Source organism: Homo sapiens, chromosome 16, assembly GCF_000001405.40.
Source record: "Homo sapiens chromosome 16, GRCh38.p14 Primary Assembly".
In the NCBI taxonomy this organism is placed as follows: domain Eukaryota; kingdom Metazoa; phylum Chordata; class Mammalia; order Primates; family Hominidae; genus Homo; species Homo sapiens.
The window spans coordinates 83,163,840-83,186,946 of NC_000016.10; the positions used below are offsets into that span (position 1 = coordinate 83,163,840).

Genomic DNA, 23,107 nt, shown 5'->3' on the forward strand with positions numbered 1-23,107 from the left:
TGTTCAGTTTTTAATTTCTGTACCATATCCTAACCCATCCTAACCAATAAAACCTCGTCGCTGTCAACATCATCATCATCATCGCAATAATAAAATGTATTAATTATGAACATAAAACCTTACCGTGTGCTGAACATTAGACTAAGCATTTTGCAAACATTATCTAATTTAATAATCACACCAACACTATAAAAAAGACATAGTTGTTATCTGTGTCTTACCCAGCTGGTAACTGATCGGGAAAAAAATGAAAACCCAGCAGCCTGACTCCAAAGCCCGTGTGCTTATCCAAACACTACAGCGTAGGTTGCTTAGTGCCAGCTTCAGTGGTTAGTTCTTTACATGCTTATCATAGGTAATCCTCTGTCAACCTGTAGAAGTAGGCATGATTAACTTAATTTTCCATTGTGAACACTGAAGGTTGGACAGATTCAATGTCTGGTCTGAGGCCACACATCACACACCACACACTACATACCACACATCACACACCACACATCACATACCACACACCACACACCACACATGGTGGAGTTAGGTCACAATCCACGTCCCTCTGACTCTTGAAGGAAGCATCATTTATTGAAAAACTAGAGTGTCTAAGCAGGTGATTTTGATTCCTTCAAGTCTGTTTCAGAAATGTCTAGGGGCCCCACAGATCTCCTGAGGTCAGGGGTTCAAAACCAGCCTGGCCAACATGGTGAAACCCCATCTCTACTAAAAATACAGAAATTAGCCAGGCATGGTGGGGGCGCCTGCAATCCCAGCTACTCAGGAGGCTGAGGCAAGAGAATCGCTTGAACTTGGGAGGCGGAGGTTGCAGTGAGCCGAGATTGTGCCATTGCACTCTAGGCTGGGTGACAAGAGCGAGACTCTGTCTCAAAAAAAGAAAAAAAAAATCATCGTTTTACTGATGATATTTACAATAACAGCTTCTGCCAGTAATAGAGACTACCAATAACCAATGCTATTTATTAAATACTAACAGTGTGTATATATATATATGCATGCTGGCTAGTGTCACGCCCTCACAAAGTGGACATTATTATCTTACAGATAAAAACACTAATGCTTGGAGAGTTTCATTGTTTGCCACAGGGTGCCCAGGTAAAACCATGGCAGAACTGGAGACAATCCAGGCAGCCTGGCTCCAAAACCTTGCAGTTGGCCAGCACACTCTCTGCCCAGAGCCCAGCCCACGCTCTGATCACAGAAAGTGTGTGGGAGATGAGTAGAAGCAGGAGAAAAAAAAAAAAAAAGTAAAATGTAGGCTAAGGGGTTGTCCTGTAAGAATTTAGGAATCCCTAAGAAGGAGAACTAGAGGATCAAGGGAAAAAGGCCAAGTCCAGTAAGTCCCTCCAAACGTCAAGTGGGGACATCTCAGTAGAGTATACCCCTACAACTGATCTGCCAAGATGTTCCACAATACAAAAAGGATTCTGTTGGCAAAAACAATGCCCACCCCTGCCTGTCTTGAAGATTCAAAATGCACAGTAGATGATAGATGATGGATATTCTAAGATTTGTTGTAGCAAGAGGCTGGTTGTGTGCTTAACTCTTCCTTTCTAATTTGCTTTTGACCACAGCACCCTTTTTATTATGCAAAACCTATTAACATCTACTGAAAGGCACTCAGCATTTGAGGGAGGGGACTAGCAGGCTGCAGAGGAGGGTGCTAAGTTCTGTGCTGAGGAAGGTGGTTGGTTGTGGAAGATGTAGTGGTCACAAATGAGAAGAGTGGACAGTGGGTACAGGGTAGGGATGATGAGACCTGGAATTGATGACCTCAGCAGAGAAGGGGAGGAAGGATAAGAAGCAAATAACAGTGACATATGTGTAAGTTAAAAAGATGGAGGTAGAGCTAGTTTCCAAGATGGCTTAAAAATACACATGGGTGCCGGTTTGACCTCAAAATAGAAATTAGAGACCTAGAATTCAGGAGAGAAGGCAGAACTAGCAAATGGAGACTCTAGGTCACCTTACCTCTCCTTTTCTTGGAGGAATGGTGGAAAGAGAAGAACAACTGAAAGGCTTCAGCACAATCGCTCTGTAGGACCCAGGAGAGAGAAGAGTAGCCTGGAATCAACAGTGGTGGGAGAGGCTGGAGGGCCTCAGGAAATTCAAGGCAAAAGAGTAGTTAGCTCTAATGACCATTCTTTAAAAGTAGAAAAAATGAAAGTGGAGATGTGCATTGTTTGTGGAAAGATAGAACCTTCCTCAGTCAGAAAGCATTTTGCCATTAGCAGCAGGCAGTGATGCTGACAATTTGCAGTTGGTGGCCAGGTTTTAAACAGTAGTTTGGGCAAGAAAGGGTATCCAGCAAATCAATTTGCAATAGCTGATCCCTGTCATTAAGGGAGTCAATTCTTGATACTGTAAGTGAATAACCAAGTGCTGCTCTGGTACAATTGAGGTATGAAATACCAGACCTGACTATTTTATGTAAATCTCTAACATGGTGTTTAAGCAGGACAGAGCAGCGGGGAGGAAGGGGCTTAAGCAGAAATGGGCTTTGAGGACCTCTCGGCCCAGACAGGAAGAGTAATTGGGCTAAGATGAGAGAGGGGCAAAACTCAGCACATCTCCAAAGCCATCCAAGGTTGCGGACAATTAACCTCTTGATTCCTCCCTCCTTTCCTTCCAAGATCAGATTTTTATCGTCTCAGAAACATATGAACTTCAAGAAAATGTGAGGAACACAGACTTTCTGAGCCAGCTTCCATTGACATGCCATTTGATTAATTTATGTGGTTGGGACAGCAGTTCAGAGGGAATATAGATTGTGCTCTTACCTGCCCCATTTCCATATTTAATATATTCAGGCATGGTTATGATAGAGCATCTCATGTTTACACTAACTTTGTGTCTTTTGAAGTTCACTTTTAACTTTGTGTTGATAAAATACTATTTTCTAATTCAGATTTTTCAAAAAATGCCCGTTGGGCATCAAGTAGCTTTTACAGAATGAGGTGTTCTTAGCATTATTATGAAGCAAGGACAAGTGTATTACCGCCATTCACGGAGACATTTTTGCAGTGTTGCAAATCTCCCAAATGTTTCAAAAAATTACAGCAGTTGCCTGTTGCACCTCACAATTAGCTGCCTAAGATTCTAGGAGAGAAGCAGTTGGATTTTATATGTGAAAATGCCTCTATTTGCTGCATTTTTACTTTTTGAGAAGTTGCAAGTTACATGAAAATAAACATACTATATAAGAAAACACGGCAGATTTCTCCTGGTGTTTTAATAATTCCACGAAGGTTTATGAATATTGGCAAACGTATTTGCAGTGGTACTTCCCTGCTATTTACTTTGTAGACTTTGAGTCTTAGATTCTTGTCTGTAAGTGAAATGTAGTATTAAAAAAAAAAAAAAGGCCGGGCACAGTGGCTCACGCCTGTAATCCCAGAACTTTGGGAGGCTGAGGCAGGTGGATCACTTGAGGTCAGGAGTTTGAGACCAGCCTGGCCAACATGGTGAAATCCCGTCTCTACTAAAAATACAAAAATTAGCTGGGCATGCTGGTGCATACCTGTAATCCCAGTTACTCACTAGGCTGAGGCAGGAGAATCTCTTGAACCTGGGAAGCGGCAGAAGTTGCAGTGAGCTGAGATCACACCATTGCACTCCAGCCTGAGGGACAGAGTGAGACCCTTTCCCAAAAAAAAAAAAAAAAAAAAAAGCATTACAAGTTGGAGTAGCCTGGGCTCCCGTGTTGGCTTTATTACTGAGCTGTGTGCAGGTGGATGTTTTGCTAAATCTTTCTATGTTCCACGTTATCAAGACCCTTTCTCTCTTTTCCCAAAGCTCTCGTATCAATTCCATTTAAGCCAAATCTCATTATTTCATTGCTTTTTTTTTTAATTATCCTATTTTTAAAATTATTCTCCCTCCTTCTGGTTTCCATTTTCAAATAGTTCAACTGGATAGACATAATAGCAAAGGCATAGAATCAACCTAGGTGCCCAGCAGTGGTGGACTGGATTGAAAAAAAACGTGGTACATATGTATCATGGAATACCATGCAGCCATAAAAAAATAAAATCACAAGCTTTGCAGCAACATGGATGCAGCCAGGGGCTATTATCCTAAGCGAATTAATGCAGGAACAGAAAACCAAATACCACATGTTCTCACTTATAAGTGGGACCTAAACAGTGAATACTCACGGACATAAAGATGGCAACAATAGACAGTGGGGACTACTAGAGTGGGGAGGGAAAGAGGGGTATGAGGGTTGAAAAACTACTAGATGCTGTGCTAGCTAGGTGACAGGACCAATGATACTCAAACCTCAGCGCCACACAATATACCTAGGTAACAAACCTGCACTTGTACCCGCTGAATCTAAAACGAAAGTTGAAATTATAAAATAAATAAATAAATGTGGTGCTTATTTTTAAAATAAATGAACAAAAAAACCCCAAAGAGCTTAGCTAGGTGTTAAGTACCATCCAATGGACGGTGCCATCCATTATATAATATAGATATTTACACACACACTCAAACACGCATACATGTATGTATGTGTATATATATACACACACATATATTTACGACTGTAGCCTTCTTTCCAGCAGAAGCAGTTTGCCAAATGCCTCTGCCCTTCCTTAGCCCAAATGCTAATAGTAGCTATTTCATGAATAGATACAGAATGACAGAGTCAACTTTACCTAACTTCTCCAAAATGCCGACTCCAGTATTCCATTTTCAAATTAACTTATTCTGATTATAAAAGTAATGTTCAGTATTGTTAGTAAAATAAATTTTAAAAAAAACGAACTTGTAATTTCCCCACTCAGAGATAGCTTCTGATAACATATTGGTGCTTTTACTTCTATTTTTTTCTATCCATATGAGTATAATTAAATACATATTCACATCTATATCTATACTCATTCATATATATTCATATGTAAGATTAAACTATATGTTCAAATTGTATTCTGCTTTTTAAAATCACACTTTATTTTCTGGGAATGTTCTCTTCATAAAGTTCTTCCAAACCATGATATTTAATGTCCACATAAGAAAACATCTCATGGACTCTCAATTTATTGAAACTTTTCCCTAGTTTTGGTTATTCTGTTTCCCACCAGTCATTAATTACTTTAAACAATTCTGTGAGGACCATTCAGGTACACAGACGTGGGTCCACAGTTATCTATTTTCTTAGCCTCAGTGCTTGGAAGTTGAAATTTGTATTGAATAACTAAATTCCTTTGACAATTAAAACATAATTATCAAACTTTTTTGCAAAGAAATAACACTATGGTATATGACATCTATGGCATATGACAGTCCCTGCTTACCTTATGCTTGCCGGCATTCAGTGCTTAGGTTTCCTTTTTTTTTTGAGACGGCATCTCACTTTGTCGCCAGGCTGGAGTGCAGTGGCGGGATCTTGGCTCACTGCAACCTCCACCTCCTGGGTTCAAGCGATTCTCCTGTCTCACCCTCCTGAGTAGCTGGGACTACAGGCGCCTGCCACCACACCCAGCTATTTTTTGTATTTTTAGTAGAGACAGGATTTCACCATATTGGCCAGGATTGTCTTGATGTCTTGACCTCATAATCTGCCTGCCTCGGCTTCCCGAAGTGCTGGGAGTAAGGTGTGAGCCACCACACCCGGCCAAGCTTTCTTAAATGGGCCACTTTGATTGATGAAAATGATAAGGTACTGTGGCCTTTTTTTTTGCCATTTAAAAAACAGTGGTAAGGTTTTTTTTTTGTTTCTCCATGTCTTGGGAAGCAGCTGCCTGTTCAAGCCCTCTTTCCTTTTCCTATTTGGGTGTTAATGGCTTCCCTATTGATTCATAAAGGCCCACTACTTATTGTGGATATTAATCTCTTGCCTGTCATATGTTTGTTGCCTTTCTTTTATGCCAGCTAGTTATTTGAATTAATTGGATTTGATGTTTTGAAATACTGAATTTTTAAATCTTTAGACAGATACAATACCATTTTTTCCTTATGCGTATTCTCTTGTTTATACAATTAACAATCTTGGCCTGTTCCAAAATCAAAGTCACATGAATACATATATTTTTCTAAGTTTTTATGGCTTCATATTCACATCTGATTCTTCAGTCCCTCTAGATCTTACTTTCGATGTATGGTTTAATGTGAAGTCCCATTTCAAGTTTTTACCCTTCAAATTAATTTTCCTTCCAAATGTTATTTTATTTTATTTTAAATACCCATTCTTTTTCTGGTTTTGTCACATAGCTTTCATGTGATGTTAAGCTCTAATACATACAACAATTTACTTTGGGACCATCTCATATATTAAATTTTGCAAAAATGCCATACTGTTCCAACACTCATAGTTTTATAATGTGTCTTAACACATGACAATAAACCCTTCTAAAATACACACAGGTTTCAGAACTGCCTTAATTATTTTTTGCTTTGATTTTTCCTCTAGAAAAAAAATGTGATCATTTTCTCAGACTCCCACCCTACTTGTTTTCTCAAAGCTACTGTCACACTCTGGATGTACAAGGTCAGGGGTGGTGAGAGATCAGGGTGTTTAGGAGTGTTTGCTTGACTGATGGAGACACAGGGTTCCCAAACTGGAAGATGACAACATAGGAGAAGCTTCCAGTTTTCCAGTCAAAGATACTATGTTTCATGAGGCAAAGCGTGAGAAACTCACCAATACAATTTCCCCCAATTCCACTCTATCAGCCTTTGAGATTTTCCGGACAGCTATCTGTCAGTCTTAGTACTTAAAATTGTTGGAAGTTTGAACACAATTCTTCAAAGATATTTTAGTGAGGAACAAGAGATTTTGCTTTGGAAGATCCTGAACAGATTTCCTTACAAAAAGTATTTCTAAGCACCCATCCCTATAATATATCTAAATGTTAAATGCTTATTGATGGAGTAAAATGGAAAGTCCAAGAGTCGTAACATTATCTGGTAACAGTGTGGATGAGAGGTATGGGAGATGTAGGCATGTGCATGTTTCCTGATTTGACCAAACTTTTCAACATGAGTGACCCTTCTAACTAGTTTTCCAAAAATAGAGAGAAGAGATCCAGCATCAATGAAAATGACAAAATTGACAAAGTTTTGCCTTGGCCCTCTTCCATCGTCGCTATCCTCTTCTCCTCTACTCAACCTCCCCATCAGTCTTTTTACCCGCCCGCCTCCTTTTTTTTGAGGGAAGCTGTATTAGGCCATTCTCACATGGCTATAAAGAAATACCTGAGACTGGGTAATTTATAAAGAGAAGAGGTTTAATTCGCTCGTGGTTCTGCAGGCTGTGCAGGAAGCATGGTGGCTTCTGCCTCTGGGGAGGCCTTAGGAAACTTATAGTCATGGTGGAAGGCAAAGGGGAAGCAGGCACTTCTTCCTGGCAGAACATGGCAGAAAAGGGGCATGGCGGAAACAGGGCAAGAGAATGGGGTGGGGAAGTACTACACACTTTTAAAGGACCAGATCTTGTGAGAACTCTATCATGAGAACAGCACCAAAGGGATGGTCCTAAACCATTCATGGAGGATGCACCCCCATGATCCAGTCACCTGCCACCAGGCCCCACCTCCAACATGGGGGATTACAGTTGAACATGAGATTTGGGTGAGGACACAGATCCAAACCATATCAAAAGCTTTTCTAATTAGGTTACTCATTCTATGAAAATAGACTGCCCATAAATAATCTTTGTTTTTCAGATGAAGATTTGGCAAGTTCTGTGCCTAGCACGATGGCTGACATGAGATAAGTGCACAGGAAATTTTGAAATATCTGTGTCTCTATCTTCATTTCCTTGTTTGTGTCTCCAATTTCCTATATGCCATCAGGGGATTTAGTGACACTGCAAATAGCATGCTCTTTGGCAGGCACGCCTCTCCCATTTCCCCAGAACCTCTTCGTCTTTCTGAGGCATGGAGTCCCAAGCTGTATGTTTTCAGGTAGTATTGTAGGAAGATTAACAGTTTCCTGACATCTTTCTTGCAAAGGCATGAATACCTCCACCGGTGCAGATCAACATAAGAAATTTAATGTTTACCTTGCCATTTTATAATGCTATCAACTTTCTCAAAATCTGTCCCTCTGCACTCTGTTATTTAAGATTTATTGTCATCCTGCATGGTGAGATAGCTGGTGGACATTAGCCCCATTCTCAGGGGTAGCTGCTATGGTTGAAACATGCTCTACCAAAATTCGTATGTTGAAGTCATAATCCCCAGTAATTCAGAGTGTGACCTTACTTGGACATAGGATCTTTACAGAGGTAATCATGTTAAACTGAGGTCATTTGAGTAGACCCTAGTATAATATGACTGATGCCTATAAAAAGAGAAATTTGGAGATAGACTCACACTCAGAGAGAACTCCACATGAAAATAAAGGCAGATGGCCGGGTACGGTGGCTCATGCCTGTAATCCCAGCACTTTGGGAGGCCGAGGCAGGCAGATCACTTGAGGTCAGGCATTCAAGACCAGCCTGGGCTATAGTGAAACCCCGTCTCTACTAAAAATATGAAAAATTTAGCCAGGCGTAGTGGTGCATGCTTGTAATTCCAGCTACTCATGAGGCTGATACGCAAGAATTGCTTGAACCCCAGAGGCGGAGGTTGCAGTGAGCTGAGATCACGCCATTGCACTTCAGCCTAGGTGACAGAGAGACTCTGTCTCAAAAAAGAAAAAAAAAGCTAAAAACACAAAATAACAGCAGAAATCAGGATGATACATCTATAAGCCCAAAAATGCCAAAAAATGCAAAACAAACAAACAACAAGAAAAATCCATGAGAAGCTAGGAGACAGGCTTGGAACAGATTCCTCCTCACAGACCTCAGAAGCACCTTGATCTCAGATTTTCAGCCTCCATCACTGTGAGACAATCAATTTCTGTTGCTTAAGCCACCCAATCTACAGTACTTTGTCATAACAGCCCTAACAAACAACATAGTAGATAAAAACAAAAAACAAACAATAAAAAAAGAAAACAAAGAAGGCTAAATAGCTTCCTTCTGAATGTGGATCGTTTCATCAGAGGATTTGATCTACTGAACCTTCTACTGCACTAAAAATTCTCATTTCATCAAGTATAATGAACTGAAGTCAAAGGGATTTATTTGATGCTGAACCAAGCCAACACTCTCCCCACCCCACCTTAGTCTACCGTTAACGTGTCCGAAATTGCATGCGTTGTTTTGCTTGGATGTTACTAGCCCTTGCTGGGAAAGGTACTTGGCACTAATGTGACTATTTAAACTAATATTCACAAAGCAGTTACCCTGTGCCAGGCTTATATGGATTCATGTAATTCTCACATTAATTCTGTGAGACTGGTGCCATGACTATGCCACTTACATATGTCCAGCCAGAATCTCTAGTTATAACTTGTTCCTGGTCATACACTCTGCTGGTTGTGAATCCAGCGTTTGAACTCAGGCAGTCTGACCCTGGGGGTGACATTTAAACTACTTTATTGCTGGGTTCTATGTTCTCAAAAGTTTAGAAGGTATTTGTTAAAGAGAATTGGAATATTTGCTATGGAACTTGTCAGAGCTTTTAAATATGCTATTATCTTAGGGAATCTCTGAGAGTGTGGTAAAGTAAGCAGCATTTCTAGCACATAGTTAACCGTGGGTCTCTTTTTATTAAGGCAAGATCTCTTGGGACTGGTGTTTCTTGAATAGACTTGCCAGACAAAATACAAGACCCCATTATGAAATTTCAGATAAACAATGACTAGTGTTTTAGAATAAGCACATCCCAACTATTGCACTGGACATATTAATACTAAAGAATTTGTGTTTGTTTATCTGAAATTCTAATTTTACTAGGGCGTTCTGTATTTTTATTTGCAAAATTTGGCAAACTATATGAAAGATGCTTCGAAAACTATAGAGAACACAGCCAAAGATCCCTGCCTCTCCCAATCTTCTGGGCCTCTTTCTTTAGGAAACAAACATAAACCTGCCCAAACTGAGGTTGTACCCTTTTTACCTGCCCTGTTACCTTCCTAGCATCCATCTTGCTGTCCTTCATTCTGCCACCCTGGGGTTCCTATCAAACTCTGCTTCCTGTCTCTTATGACTTAGAACATGCCATCCCAGACCCAGGGAACAGAACAGGCATATCCCTGGTTATTTCAAAGCCAGTATCACACCAGCATGTAGAGATATGACCAGACAATAACAATCCTCCTCCAGTTATCACTCGAGGGAAAGGAGAGGGACTTATGGGGAACAGATGCAGATAAAACCCAAATCTGATGCCTTGAGGCTGGTCAGTATGAAGTCTGTCCTGTGGTATCCCTCTGCAACATTTCCATTTCAGGGGAGTTGAGGGCTTATCAAGCTTAGGAAGCAATGTGTACTGAAAAGGATGAGGTCAGTTCGGGGTCTGTCAAATCAATTGAACATATCTTGAACCCTGAATTCTATCATCAATCTCACTTTACAATCCATCCCTTCCAATTAATGCTGCATATAATAACACCACTCAATGATGTTCATACATCCCATCTTCTTACTTGGCACTATCTTTTTTTTCTTTTTAAGAGATTAATTTGTCTTTCCAATATATTCAAGTTATCTTGACCAATGTTTCAGAATTACTTAGAGCTTTATGGATTGCAGCAAGACCGAAGCAAATGACCACTCATAATTCAGAATATTTCTGAGCCAGAATAAAGTTTACACTTCATGACCATAAAGAGGACCCTTTATGCTTGTATGTAGAAGCTCAATTCAGGTTCCAAACCTGCACTGTCCAGTTAGGTAGCCACTAGCCACCTGTGGTTACTTAAATTTACCCTTAAGCTAATTAAAATAAAGTTAAAACTTTAGTTTACGAGCCATATGTATTAGTCTGTTTTCACACTTCTATAAAGACATACCTGAGATTAGGTAATATATAAAGAAAAAAGGTTTCCTTGACTCACATTTCTACATGGTTGGGGAGGCCTTAGGAAACTTAACAATCATGGCAGAATGTGAAGGAGAAACAAGGCACATCTTATCACAGTAAAGCAGGAGAGAGAGAGAAAAAGAGCCAAGGAGAACTGCCAAACACTTTTAAACCATCAGATGTTGTGTGAACTCACTCACTATCATGAGAACAGCTTGGGGGAACTGCCCCCATGATCCAGTCCTCTCCAACCAGGTCCCTCCCCTGACACATGGGGATTAAAATTTGAGGTGAGATTTGGGTGGGGACACAGAGCCAAACCATATCACCATGCTAGCCACATTTCAAATCATCAGCTACGTATCGCTGGTGGCTATTATATGCAGTACATACATACTGCACAGTGTAGATATGAAACGTTTCCATCATCATAGAAAGCTCTCTTGGACAGCCCTATTCTAGATGCTTTATTCTCAAACATGCCACAGGATAACACATAAGATATTGGCATGGATACCATTCTATTTGGTTTGGGACAGAAGAAATAAGGAAAAATGTTTCTGAAACAGGGAGTCCATTTTAGATTATTTTATATGAAGTTATCAATAGTTTATTAATATATTGATTAAAAGATGACAAGTTCTCAACCCCCACGATAGCCCACTGGTGAAGACAGAACCATGCAGACACTATTAATTCGGCTCTGTTTCTTTTTCTAATGAGCCAGTGTGGAGACTGGGGAAGAGGAAGGGATTGTTTGGAAAGATCAGAGCATCCAGGAGAAACTGTATGGGGATGGGGGCACCACTGACTGAATCAGAGCCTCCAGTTTGCTTTGGGTGACCACAGAGGGACTGAACAAACCCCTGTGTTGTCAGTCCTTAGTTTTGAGAATAGCCTTGACCAGCACACTTGTTCACTGAGGAAGGATACGAAAATGCAGATAAGTTAAAACAAACAAACAAACACCGTCATTCTTACTCTGGCAGCCAGATGAGTCACCAACACATTAAATTCTTTATAGATCTCTATACCTTCCTTTATGTAAATGTGTATAATATGCTCACAAAAATAAGATCATAATATACATACTGTTTTTTCAACCTGCTTTTTTTTTTTTTTTTTTTTTTTTGAGACGGAGTTTCACTCTTATTGCCCAGGCTAGAGTGTAATGGCGCGATCTCGGCTCACCGCAACCTCCGCTTCCCAGGTTCAAGCGATTCTCCTGCCTCAGCCTCCCAAGTAGCTGGGATTACAGGCATGTGCCACAATGCCTGGCTAATTTTTGTTTTTGTTTTTGTTTTTGTTTTTTTTTCAGTAGAGACGGGGTTTCTCCATGTAGGTCAGGCTGGTCTTGAAATCTCTACCTCAGGTCATCCACTTGCCTCGGTCTCCCAGAGTGCTGGGATTACAGGCGTGAGCTACCATTCCCGGCCTCAACCTACTTTTTAAATTAATATGCTTCAACACATTTCCAAGCCAAAATGACTTGTAAAACGTTGTACTTAAAGATTGTGGCTACGCTTGGTGGCTCACGCCTGTAATCCCAGCACTTTGGGAGGCTGAGGCAGGCAGACCACGAGGTCAGGAGTTCGAGACCAGCCTGGGCAACATGGTGAAACCCTGTCTCTTCTAAAAATACAAAAATTAGCCTGGCGTGGTGGCAGGTGCCTGTAATCCCAGCTACTCAGGAGGCTGAGGCAGGAGAATTGCTTGAACCTGGGAGGCGGGGGTTGCAATGAGCCCAGATTGCATCACTGCACTCCAGCCTGGGTGACAGAGCAAGAATCCAGCTAGAGAAAAAAAAAAAAAAAAAAAAAAGTCCTTGTGCATTAATCTGTTCTATAGGTGTTTTTAGTGGAACATTTAGTGGGGGTCCAGTTCATCCCCAATTATAAATATAATTCCACTGAGCATCCTCAACTTTGTGCACATTCCTAATAATCTGCAAGGAATACATTTATGGAAGGAGAATTACTGTCTTAAAAGGGGGTTGGGGTGGGTATATATTATTAAAGTTTGCGATAAAAGTCTTTAGTTGCTTGATGAAATGGAGGCAGAAGTTTAATCCCTAAGGACCCTTCTAATTCCAAAGTTGTCTGAGTGCCGGATTGTAGCTCTGTTGAGCCTGGGTCTTAAGTCTGAGCGAGCCCTTAGTTACCTTCCTCTCCCATCAGCCTGAGCCAGAGTTAGCCTGAGGTCCCAAACTATGAGCAGGAGAATGTCACCCTAGGAATGGCAACTAGAAAGTTTTTACCCCGGATGCCATGATGAGGCACTGCCATCCACTGGAGCTTGCTGTGATTATGGAAATGTTCTCTATCTGCACATCCAGTATGATAAGCACTGACCACATCTGGCTGCTGAGGACTTGAGATGTGGCTGGTGTGACCGAATAACTGGGATTTTAAATCTTATTTAATTTTAATAGCCACATGTGGCTAGTGGCTAACATTTTAGACAGCTGTTCTAAGAGCATACCTCTGAGACTCAAATACTCAGATCTTTGCCACATTGTTTTATCTTAAATATGACAATTGATAACATTGCTCATGCTCAGCTGCTTGCTTCAAATGACATTTATTTCCCTCGCTAGTTCTTCAAAGGTAGGGACTAATCACCAAATCTCCAATGATAGTCTGATGCCATCCCCAGGTCTGCTACAGCACAAAGGGGACCCTCAATGAATAAGCATGTCAACATCAATCACTTTCCTCAAAGTTTAACTCAGCTATGATAGATCATGGCATATCCGCAAGCCAAGCTACTCATCCAAAATATGGAGATCTTGTAAGTTGGAGATTGTGATGATAATAGTACCTGTCCCTTAGTATTGTTGTGAGGATTAAATATAAGAAGAGCACTTAATATTAGTGCCTAGTGCAGGGTGAGTCTCCAGTGAATGGGGACCATTACTCTTGCCTCCAACATTGTAGCAAGGTCCCCTCCACATAGGGATAAGCCTGTCAAGACCCACGCCTGTTACTCAAAATCTCTTTTAGGGTTATTTAAATACGTGGTCAAGTATTGCATTAGGAGAAATGGCTTAAGAACAAGAGAATGTCAAACCAAATTGAGTTCCCCTTATTGTGTGCTCTCATGAAGCACTTACCACAATGATAATTATTTGCAGTAGTATTACCTAATACCTGCTTTTCCCACCATGCTATAAACACACCAGAGCAAGACTGTTTATCTTGTTCACGGATGTATTCCCAGTGCTAAACATATAGTAGGTGTTTAATAAATCCTGAATGATAGATTGAGGATGAGTGGGTAGTAGATGGGCAGGAATAAAGGAGCTACGGGAAACCCTAGCATAGAAAAAAATAGTACCAGAACCCCTGAAATCTAGTCCTGTTTAGGTTCACAGCTAACTATCGGTCCACTGAAAAGCCCTGGTTTTGGCTTCTCTGTTTTATAAAGTGAAAAAGGTTGATCCAGATTAGGGTTTTTCAGCCTCAGAACTATAGACATTTGGGGCAGATAATTATGTTGTGGGAGGCCGTCCTGTGCTTATAAAAGGATGTTTAATGCACCTGTGGCTGTACCCATTAGCTACCAGCAGCCCTCCTCCGCCAGCTGCGACAACTAAAAATGTCTCCAGAAAAATGTTCCAAGCAGGGAAAACTCCCCCGCCGCACCCCAGTTGAGAACCACTGATTTAGATCCTGTCTGAAGTCCCCTCTGGCACTGATAGTCTAAGATTCTTCTTGGGACCATAATTTCTGAACATGTGAATTTTCTGACATTTCATAGATGGTTATAGAATTATAAGAATATTTCCAGCTACTCACGCAAATAACTCAGACCTGATTATCAATTTAATATTTGGATCAGTGGGCCATTAAAATGCTGATTTGAAATTCAATTTTCCATTTTTAAAAATGATCACTTTGTGAATTCTGTTAGCTGGTTGATTTTATTTAAATGGAGTGTGTAATTTTTCCCGCTCTGTGTTCATGAATAACGCTTTATAGTTGAATGTCAGAATGCCTGCTAATGACCCTAACAATCATAGCTTATTTCTAGAGAATCCATACAGTCATTGAGGCTTTGTTTTTTTTCATCTTCCACTCGTTTCCTTGGAATAAGACCTTTAATTAATGCTCATTAAGATGCACAAATAGCCTGGCCTTGAATCCTCCCAGTGTTTGGTTCACTCTCCCCTAACTTATTAAAGTTGCTTCTGGAAGTTACATAGAGACGTGCAGTTAATTCCTGGAACAGTGTGTTTGTGCTTCTCATTATGCAAAAAATATACACCTTGGTCAAAAAGGAGGTATATTTTTACACAACTATTTGTTCATAGGACATGTATGCATTAAGCCTCAACAAATGCGCCACCCTATTGGCAATTATGGAATTCGAGTCTCACATCAGAGCAAATGTGGTGGTGGCCTAGTAGGACTTTCAATCCCCTTCCTTGGAAAACTGCCTTAGTAAGGAGTTCAGGGATTCCAGGAAATACAGGAAAGCCTTTGGGATGTGTAGTCCCATTCATATGAAATCCACATTTCCCAGAAGACCACAGAACTTTTGTGTTCCATGCAGTGTCCCTAGCACTACAAGCTATTATCTCCTTAAATCTCTCAACCCTATCAGGCACATGCTAACAGGACCATGATTTTACTATCAACAAAAGGGAGGATGGGCGCGGTGGCTCACGCCTGGAATCCCAGCACTTTGGGAGGCCGAGGTGGGTGGATCACCTGAGATCAGGAGATGGAGACCATCCTGGCTAACACAGTGAAACCCCGTCTCTACTAAAAAAAAAAAAAAAAAAAAATTAGCCGGGCGTGGTGGCGGGCACCTGTAGTCCCAGCTACTCGGGAGGCTGAGGCAGGGGAATGGAGTGAACCCGGGAGGTGGAGCTTGCAGTGAGCCGAGATCACGCCACGGCACTCCAGCCTGGGCTACAGAGCGAGACTCTCTCTCAGAAAAAAAAAAAGAAAAGGGAGCCTCCCTAGAGAGGTGTTAAGTAACCTGCCTGAAGTCACAGAACCAGAGTTTGAATTCGTCTCCCCAGATTTCTGGAATTGCAGTCTTTTCCAGTGCTACATTGCCCCTAGATTTAGGATAAAATACAAATGACTTATATTTTCCACTTAAAAGAAGCATTCCTTAGCATCAAACTAAAGTTAGTTCAACATATATTCCTATCAAAATAGGTTAAGTTTTTTTTTTTTTAATTTATAAGTGCTTATGAACAGGAAACGATGGGAGAATAGCTTACTTTCAATGACTGCTTTGAGCGTCTAATTTTAATCCATATATTTTCTGTAGGCCACTGTTTGTAGCTTTTAGAGTAGATTTCCCTCTCTTAAAAGTAAACTTTGTTTTACTTAGAAAACACAGAGACCTTGGAGCATAGTGATTGTTGTGTTTTTAAATTTCATTGGTTTAATTGTCGTTTAAAAGTAAGGTTTTTTTTGTTGTTGTTGGTTTGTTTGTTTGTTTTTTTTATTAGGAAAACATTCTCTTCATCACATAGCCCTAAATCAATCAACATATTTTAAGAGAACTGAAATGGTTTTGGGGTAACTTTATTTTTGCTATTGTAGTCTTTGGAGGAAATAAATGCAAATGAAAAAATCAGTTAAGATCAGACGATGGATGTATTTTTTTTTTCACATCCTTTCCTTTATAAGGTTAGGAACAAACAAACTTCCTAGGAACTATCCTAATATGGATTATCATAATCTATGTTTTTACAAAAATAGTGCCAAGGAATGGAACCAATTTAAATGGCTTAGAGCATGAGACTTTTAACGTAGGACTCACCTTTTGGTGGTAGCTAACTGAAATGACATCAGATCTGTAAAGAAGTGTCCCATCATTTAAGATTTCTTCAGTTACAACCTAAAAGAAGCCATATGTTTGAAGTGTGTGCTTTGTACATTTTATGTGAAAACATGGTCCCAGCAGTCCATATTATCTTGGAACTATGCAGACTCCCGAAGCCATGCCTCCTTTTCACAGACGTAATTATTAGACTATGCATGCCAATTTTAATTCTAGAAAAACGGTCACTCTAGGTAATGTTCTTTAAGACAAACAAACAAAGGCTGCTTAATCCATGATGCTGTAGTCATTTGTTGGCTTGTTTATTTTAATCCCCAATTTACAACAAAATGTGTTTTTTTTTTCTTACAGAGAACCCACAATCCTATTAACAGCGAACTTCTCTTGAATGAAGGCATTACAGCAGATTTAAATCCATGCATTACAATTTTAGCAATTTAATGAACATCCTATTTGGCGACATTATTGCTTTAAAGGAATAAATCACAAACATTTTACTTCCCACTAGCACTCGGTATTTCAAATCCATTTTCTCTACAGAATGATGTGTTTAAATAAATTGTCCTGTTGACTGAATTTTGATCACATTATTGGGTATTTGGGATAGAAATGTGTAGACAGAGAGTCAGAAGTCATCACATCTACTGAAGGCTTTGCAGCCAAGAAATGAGGCCTCAGGCAAGTCATTTAGTATTAGGGGACTTAATTTCTTCTCAGTCCAAGGCAGGTGTTTAATTGCAACGTGTCCCAACTTGACTAGGGGAGTTTGTTCACAGAATCAAGCGAATTCCCATCCTCACCCTCACATTTGGATTTGATAAGTCTGCAGAGGGGTCCACTGGACCTCCTTGCTAACAAGCTGTGGGTGGCTCTAGCCTAGGTGCCCAGGTGCCCCATAAAGGAACCACTATGTGGTTAATACCAGAAGTCCCGTCAAGTTGGAAGCTTCTCTAACCACATCTTGGGCTGTAGTACTTGACAATTGGCTTTTCTTCAATAAAGCAAAAATACCCTCAGTTATGTCATCATTAAAATGTACATGAGCTAGAATCTTATGCCTGCCTGGTTCTGTGAGTTCAAAATAAGAGAAACTCAGGAAGGTTGAGTTGAGCCGCATGCTGAAAAGAGGGGGAGAAGAGGGGATGACTTGGAGCCAGGAAGGCTTGTGGGACAGAGCTTCTTAACCTGGGGTGTTCACCCTTGGTCCCTGGATGGACTTGAGGGAGTCTCTGAATGCCTGAAATCACAGGCAAAGTGAGTGTGTGTGTGCATGTGTGTGTGTATGTGTGTGTATTTTTCTGGAGAGGGAAGGACCACAGTTTGCATAGATTTCCCATGGAGATGTTGATTGCAGGTTGGTCAGAACCATCCTTCTAACTAGGTGGTGATTTGGAGCACAGGCGTCGGGCACAGAGACCCTGACTTAGAGCCCATCTCTTCTATTAATTAGCTGCACACAGAAGCTGGATTCCCCTCCAAGCGTGCTCTACCTGTGGCAAAGTGCTATTGTGGGACTACTTGGGAACATAGGAAAAGTGTGCATTGTCTGGTACTCAGTAATTGCTCAATAAATACCAGCTACATCCTAACAAATATTTTATGGAGGTCCTTAAACTGAGCAAGAGCAATTTTACCTGATGCATTTTGAAAGGAAGTGATGATTAACTAATCCTTCCTGCCTCCTGCTAGTCACGCCTTACATCACCATATTGTCTCTTTCTCCTCATCTGGATCTTTCGCTAAAGACTGACAAAGAAAGCTTCCTCTGATGGCTCTGGTCTCCAGCTAAGGCCATAAACTGTGTATTGTTGAGGCTGCAGGAGAAGGTGGAAGAGTCATAATGCCAGGTTCAGACCCCTTGGTCTTCTGTCTGCCATGGGTTTGCTGTGCTCTGCTAGGGAAAATAATTCATCTTTTGAACCCCTCTGGGACATTTCTGTGAGTTTTGTTGGATGGTCATGTGTGTTCACTTTATGATCTCCACGTGAAAGGTGAAGTTCATAACTGCCACCAGTCTCTAAGCTTTGTCCTTTAAAGTCTGCGGACACTTGAAGCCCTCTGTTAGTCATGCCATGCTGTGATCAAAAGGATTGTGTTTAAGAATGTATAGTCTAAATGCTTATTGTGATCACTAACATTTGTATAGTTCTTTGGGGTTTACCAAGTACTTTACTTGTATTTTCTCATTTAATCTTCACTTAGGACTAAAAAAGTTAGTAACACTAATGGGAATGAGCGAAAACCAAATTCAGACAGTATTAAATACACAAAATTATAAAGTAAAATGAGACTGATTTCCCACGTCATGAGGAAAAATGTCTCTTTACTTTGTGATTCTTTTTATCACATACTTAAAGGCATTTGCATTTTTCCTTTTCTGAATTTTCTGCTTTTAGTTTTTCCTCTTGTATTAGATGTTCAGTGTAACTCACCAATTGTGGCAGTTTTCTGTTTGATTCACAGTAAAAAAGAATAAAAAATAAAAATTAAAAAAAAACTGTGACCTGCATTGTCCACCTGATTAAAATTAGTTTGGATTTTTCAGATAAGGTTCCTTCTTTTTATTATTATAAACAGACTTTATCTTAAGAGTCGGAAGAAACATTTAAGGGAACTATTCGTCTTATTTGTATTTCAACCTGATAAAAGGAAAAGGGATATAGCAAAAATTTTTAGTCGTTTGAGTGGGAAGTGCTTTATTTGAGATAAACACAAAAGGTTTTAAGTATCGTTGATATTAGTCAAACATAATAGCTTTTGGCTATTGTCTGAAGAGCTCTTGTCTGTTGACTTGCAGACCTGTGACCTCTAGATAAAGTTTCAAAATGCAGAAAATATTTATCTTCTTGCTATGACCTTCCACGCACACGACGTGAAGCCATGGATTTGTTTCCTAGGGAACTAGTGAGTGAGGAAGATCTATAATTAAATCTGTGAGTTATATGCTACACATGGGAATTGGGTACGCACCAAGTCCTTTAGAAAAATCCCATAATATCACCATAGCCTCAACTGGTGGAATTAAACTCAATTTTTCTTCACACATTTTTAGAAAGCATCATTCAGAATCTTAATATGGGAAAGTTCTTGTGTTTCTTTCCAAAGTCAGGGTGTGTTTAGTTTGGCTTCCATTTCGCTCTGGATCCAGTGTCCCTCCCTGATGGGACGGCACCTGCCATTGCTACTCAGGTGAGTGCTTTATATGGAAGTCTTGGAAAAGCGAGTGGTAGTCTAGTCTCAGACATCAGCACGTCAGAGCTGGAAGGGATCCAAGGCAGTGTTTGGCAAAAGTTTTTTGATGTTCAAAATGTGTCCTTCAAATAAAATCTAATTTAAAAATTCACTGAGTGAAGCAGACATTAGGTGAATTGGTTTTGACTAGAAGTAAGGGAGAAAGAACCTTTTCATCACCACCCCAATCCCAAAATTCCAGAGCAAGAAGTCTCTAAGGCACCCCCGTTTCTCAACTTGAACATTAACATCTAAGCCATAGCACTGATTGTAGAGGGGGCAGACTGAGGCTCAAGAGATGTTGCCATTGGTCAGCCATCTCATAGCCTCTAGAGGTTAAACACACACACACACACACACACACACACACACACACATACACACACACACAACTAGTAAAAAAAAAAAAAGTCAGAACAATGAATAGCTGTTTCCAAATCTGGCTTGAATATATTTTGTAGTAAATTTCCCCATCTAGAGGCTCATGAGGGCCAAGATTTCTCTACGGTGCTTTTATTTTTCACCTTTTGAAACCAATAATCAGCCTCTTACATTAACTCTAAAAAGTAAAACTCTGTCGACTCTTTGCTTTCAATGGGATTGTCCTCCCCGTATCATTCCTCAACCAACAGAGGGACTCTATGAGAGGGAAGCAGAACCTCAGGACTACCAGAGAAGAGATATTTCACAGATACCAAGGCTTGACGTAGATGTGAGGCCAGGGGCAGGGTGCGGTGGCTCACACCTGTAATCCCAGCACTTTGGGAGGCTGAGGTGGGTGGATCAACTGAGGTCAGGATTTCAAGACCAGCCTGGCCAACATGGTGAAACCTCTCCTCTACTAAAAATACAAAAATTACCTGGGCATGGTGGTGCACGCCTGTAGTCCCAGCTACTCAGGAGGCTAAGGCAGGAGAATCGTCTGAACCCAGGAGGCAGACGTTGCAGTGAGCTGAGATCATGCCATTGCACTCCAGCCTGAGCAACAGAGCGAGACTCCATCTCAAAAAAGCAAAGATGTGAGTCCAGGGTGGGTGTTGATGAGGACGGTAATAATACCTGATGCTTTCGTAGCAGTCCCTGCTCCAGACTATATATACATTAGCTCATTTAGTGTTTGTGATGTCTAAGCCGTGTGTGTGTGTGTGTGTGTGTGTGCGTGTGTGTGTGTAGTAGCAGCTTATTTTTTTTCTATTTCTCTTTGATTTTTTAAATACACACTTATAAGTGTACATGTGTGGTGTGTGGGTATATATACACTTTCCTCTATCTTTCTGATATACCTATCTATATATTTATGATCTTCCCACCAACCTGGTAAGGCCGATACTACTACTATCCCTATTTTATATATAAAGAAACTGAGGCACAGAATCCTAAGGGTCCTACAGCTGGTCGTGGCAGCACTGAGATTTGTATCCAAGCAGCCTGGCTTCCAAGTCTGTGCTCTTTGCTGGTCTACATTCATACCCCATCTTTTATTTTTCTTTTTGAAGTATACGCTATGGGGCTTTGAGCAAAACTTCTGATGTGAAAAAGAAATAAGAATAATAACTCCAAAGATTTTTGCTATGAGGATAAAGCACCTGACCTACTGCACCTTGTAATTTCTGGCAACTAATAATTTCTCAGTAAGTTTCTGTGTTGCTGTAAAAATTGTCAACCATGTACACAAACAGATCTTTAAAAAAAATTGAGACAAATTAAAGTGAAAGACTTCAAAATCAGTTTGTCACATTTGATGCTAAACGCTATATTTTCTCTGAGAATTTTAAATTGTGCAGGTAATTTCTCACCACGGTAAGTCATGATTTTTCATACTTGAACAGTATCACTTCATCTAAGGAATTTTCCCCAGTGCAGTACACTCCCACCCATGCCTCTGAAAACGTCTAATCTGTTTCTCCTACTTACCTGTTGGTCCAATTCATTTCTGGAAATGTTCTGCAGGTTATCATAACGAGAACAGGAGTGATCTATGGAATAAACAGGCACTGTTGTTTGAATTAATTACCAGGAACAGAATCATAAGTGGTGACAACTTACAACAGCTCATTCCACATTCTCCTGCCACTGATGGATAGATTTATGCATTTGAAACATTTTTTACTGATTGCCTGCCCATCTCCTGTTCACATACTCCCTGAGAACCTCTATGTCTTATCCATGGAGTATGTCCGAAAACCAATTATCATCCCCTTTTTGTTTCTGTATTGTCTAATGGAAGAAAAGAAATTATACCTTAGAGGAGATATTTTCCTGATAAACAGCATTTAGTCATTTAGTCATTAAATTAGCTCTTTTAAAATTGTATTATTTTTAAAGGCATCTTTTTATTTTATTTTATTTTATTTTATTTTATTTTATTTTATTTTATTTTATTTTATTTTATTTTATTTTATTTGAGACAGAATCTCACTATGTCACCAGGCTGGAGTGCAGTGGCGTGATCTCGGATCACTGCAGCCAACCTCCGCCTCCTGGGTTCAAGCAATTCTCCCGACTCAGCCTCCTGAGTAGCTGGGACTACGGGCACATACCACCATGCCAAGCTAATTTTTGTACTTTTAGTAGAGATGGGGTTTCACCATATTGGCCAGGAGGGTCTCAATCTCTTGACCTTTTGATCCACCCGCCTCGGCCTCCCAAAGTGCTGGGATTACAGGCCTGAGCCACAGCGCCCGGCCTAATGGCATCTTAGTCATTCGACTTTTCGAGACAGCCTTATCAGTAGCCTCTGATGCTTGAGGTTCTCTTGTGTTGCTTTTCGTTGTCATAGTATTTTTGTTGTTATTGTTTTGTTTTTCTTTCTTTTTGTTATTTGCTTTATGTTTGTATTTGTCGTACGTTGTGTTTAATCTACCCCTTCTCTGCCCAAGACTGTAGTATGTCGTCAGGGTTGAGAACCACTGGGTTAAGGAGTTACAAAAAGTTAAATTTCTCAGGGCTAATGTTGAATTCTTGCATCGGATGAGCTCATTGTAACTTAGGAAAATCAAAAGCTTGACTTGAAAGAATGAGACAAGTCAAGCTCTTGTGAGACAAGCCAACTCTTTCTCATGTGGAGGAAGAGTTCTGATGGGGAGAAGGAGCTGAAGAAGTGGTGCCCCCATTGAAGCAGGCAGCTGGGATCCCCTGTGAAGGTGGTGAAGGGCAGATGGGAGACGGAGATATTTTAATGAAAATTGTAACCTATT

General features: G+C 40.4%; 1 protein-coding gene across 9 annotated transcripts in view; it reads left to right on the forward strand.

Annotated features, from left to right (window-relative positions):
- CDH13 (cadherin 13) overlaps positions 1-23,107 on the forward strand; it is a 1,173,672-nt gene that overhangs the window by 536,871 nt on the left and 613,694 nt on the right. For 2 of the 9 annotated variants that reach the window (XM_017022849.3, NM_001220491.2), the window contains one exon: positions 17,031-17,255. The exons of 6 other annotated variants lie outside the window; for them this stretch is intronic. In XM_017022849.3, coding sequence (XP_016878338.1) covers positions 17,031-17,120 — 90 coding nt within the window. In that variant the 3' untranslated portion in view covers positions 17,121-17,255. Of the gene's footprint in view, positions 1-7,682; positions 7,729-17,028; positions 17,256-23,107 lie in introns of those variants that run through there. One more of the 9 variants, NM_001220492.2, reaches the window with a different exon arrangement.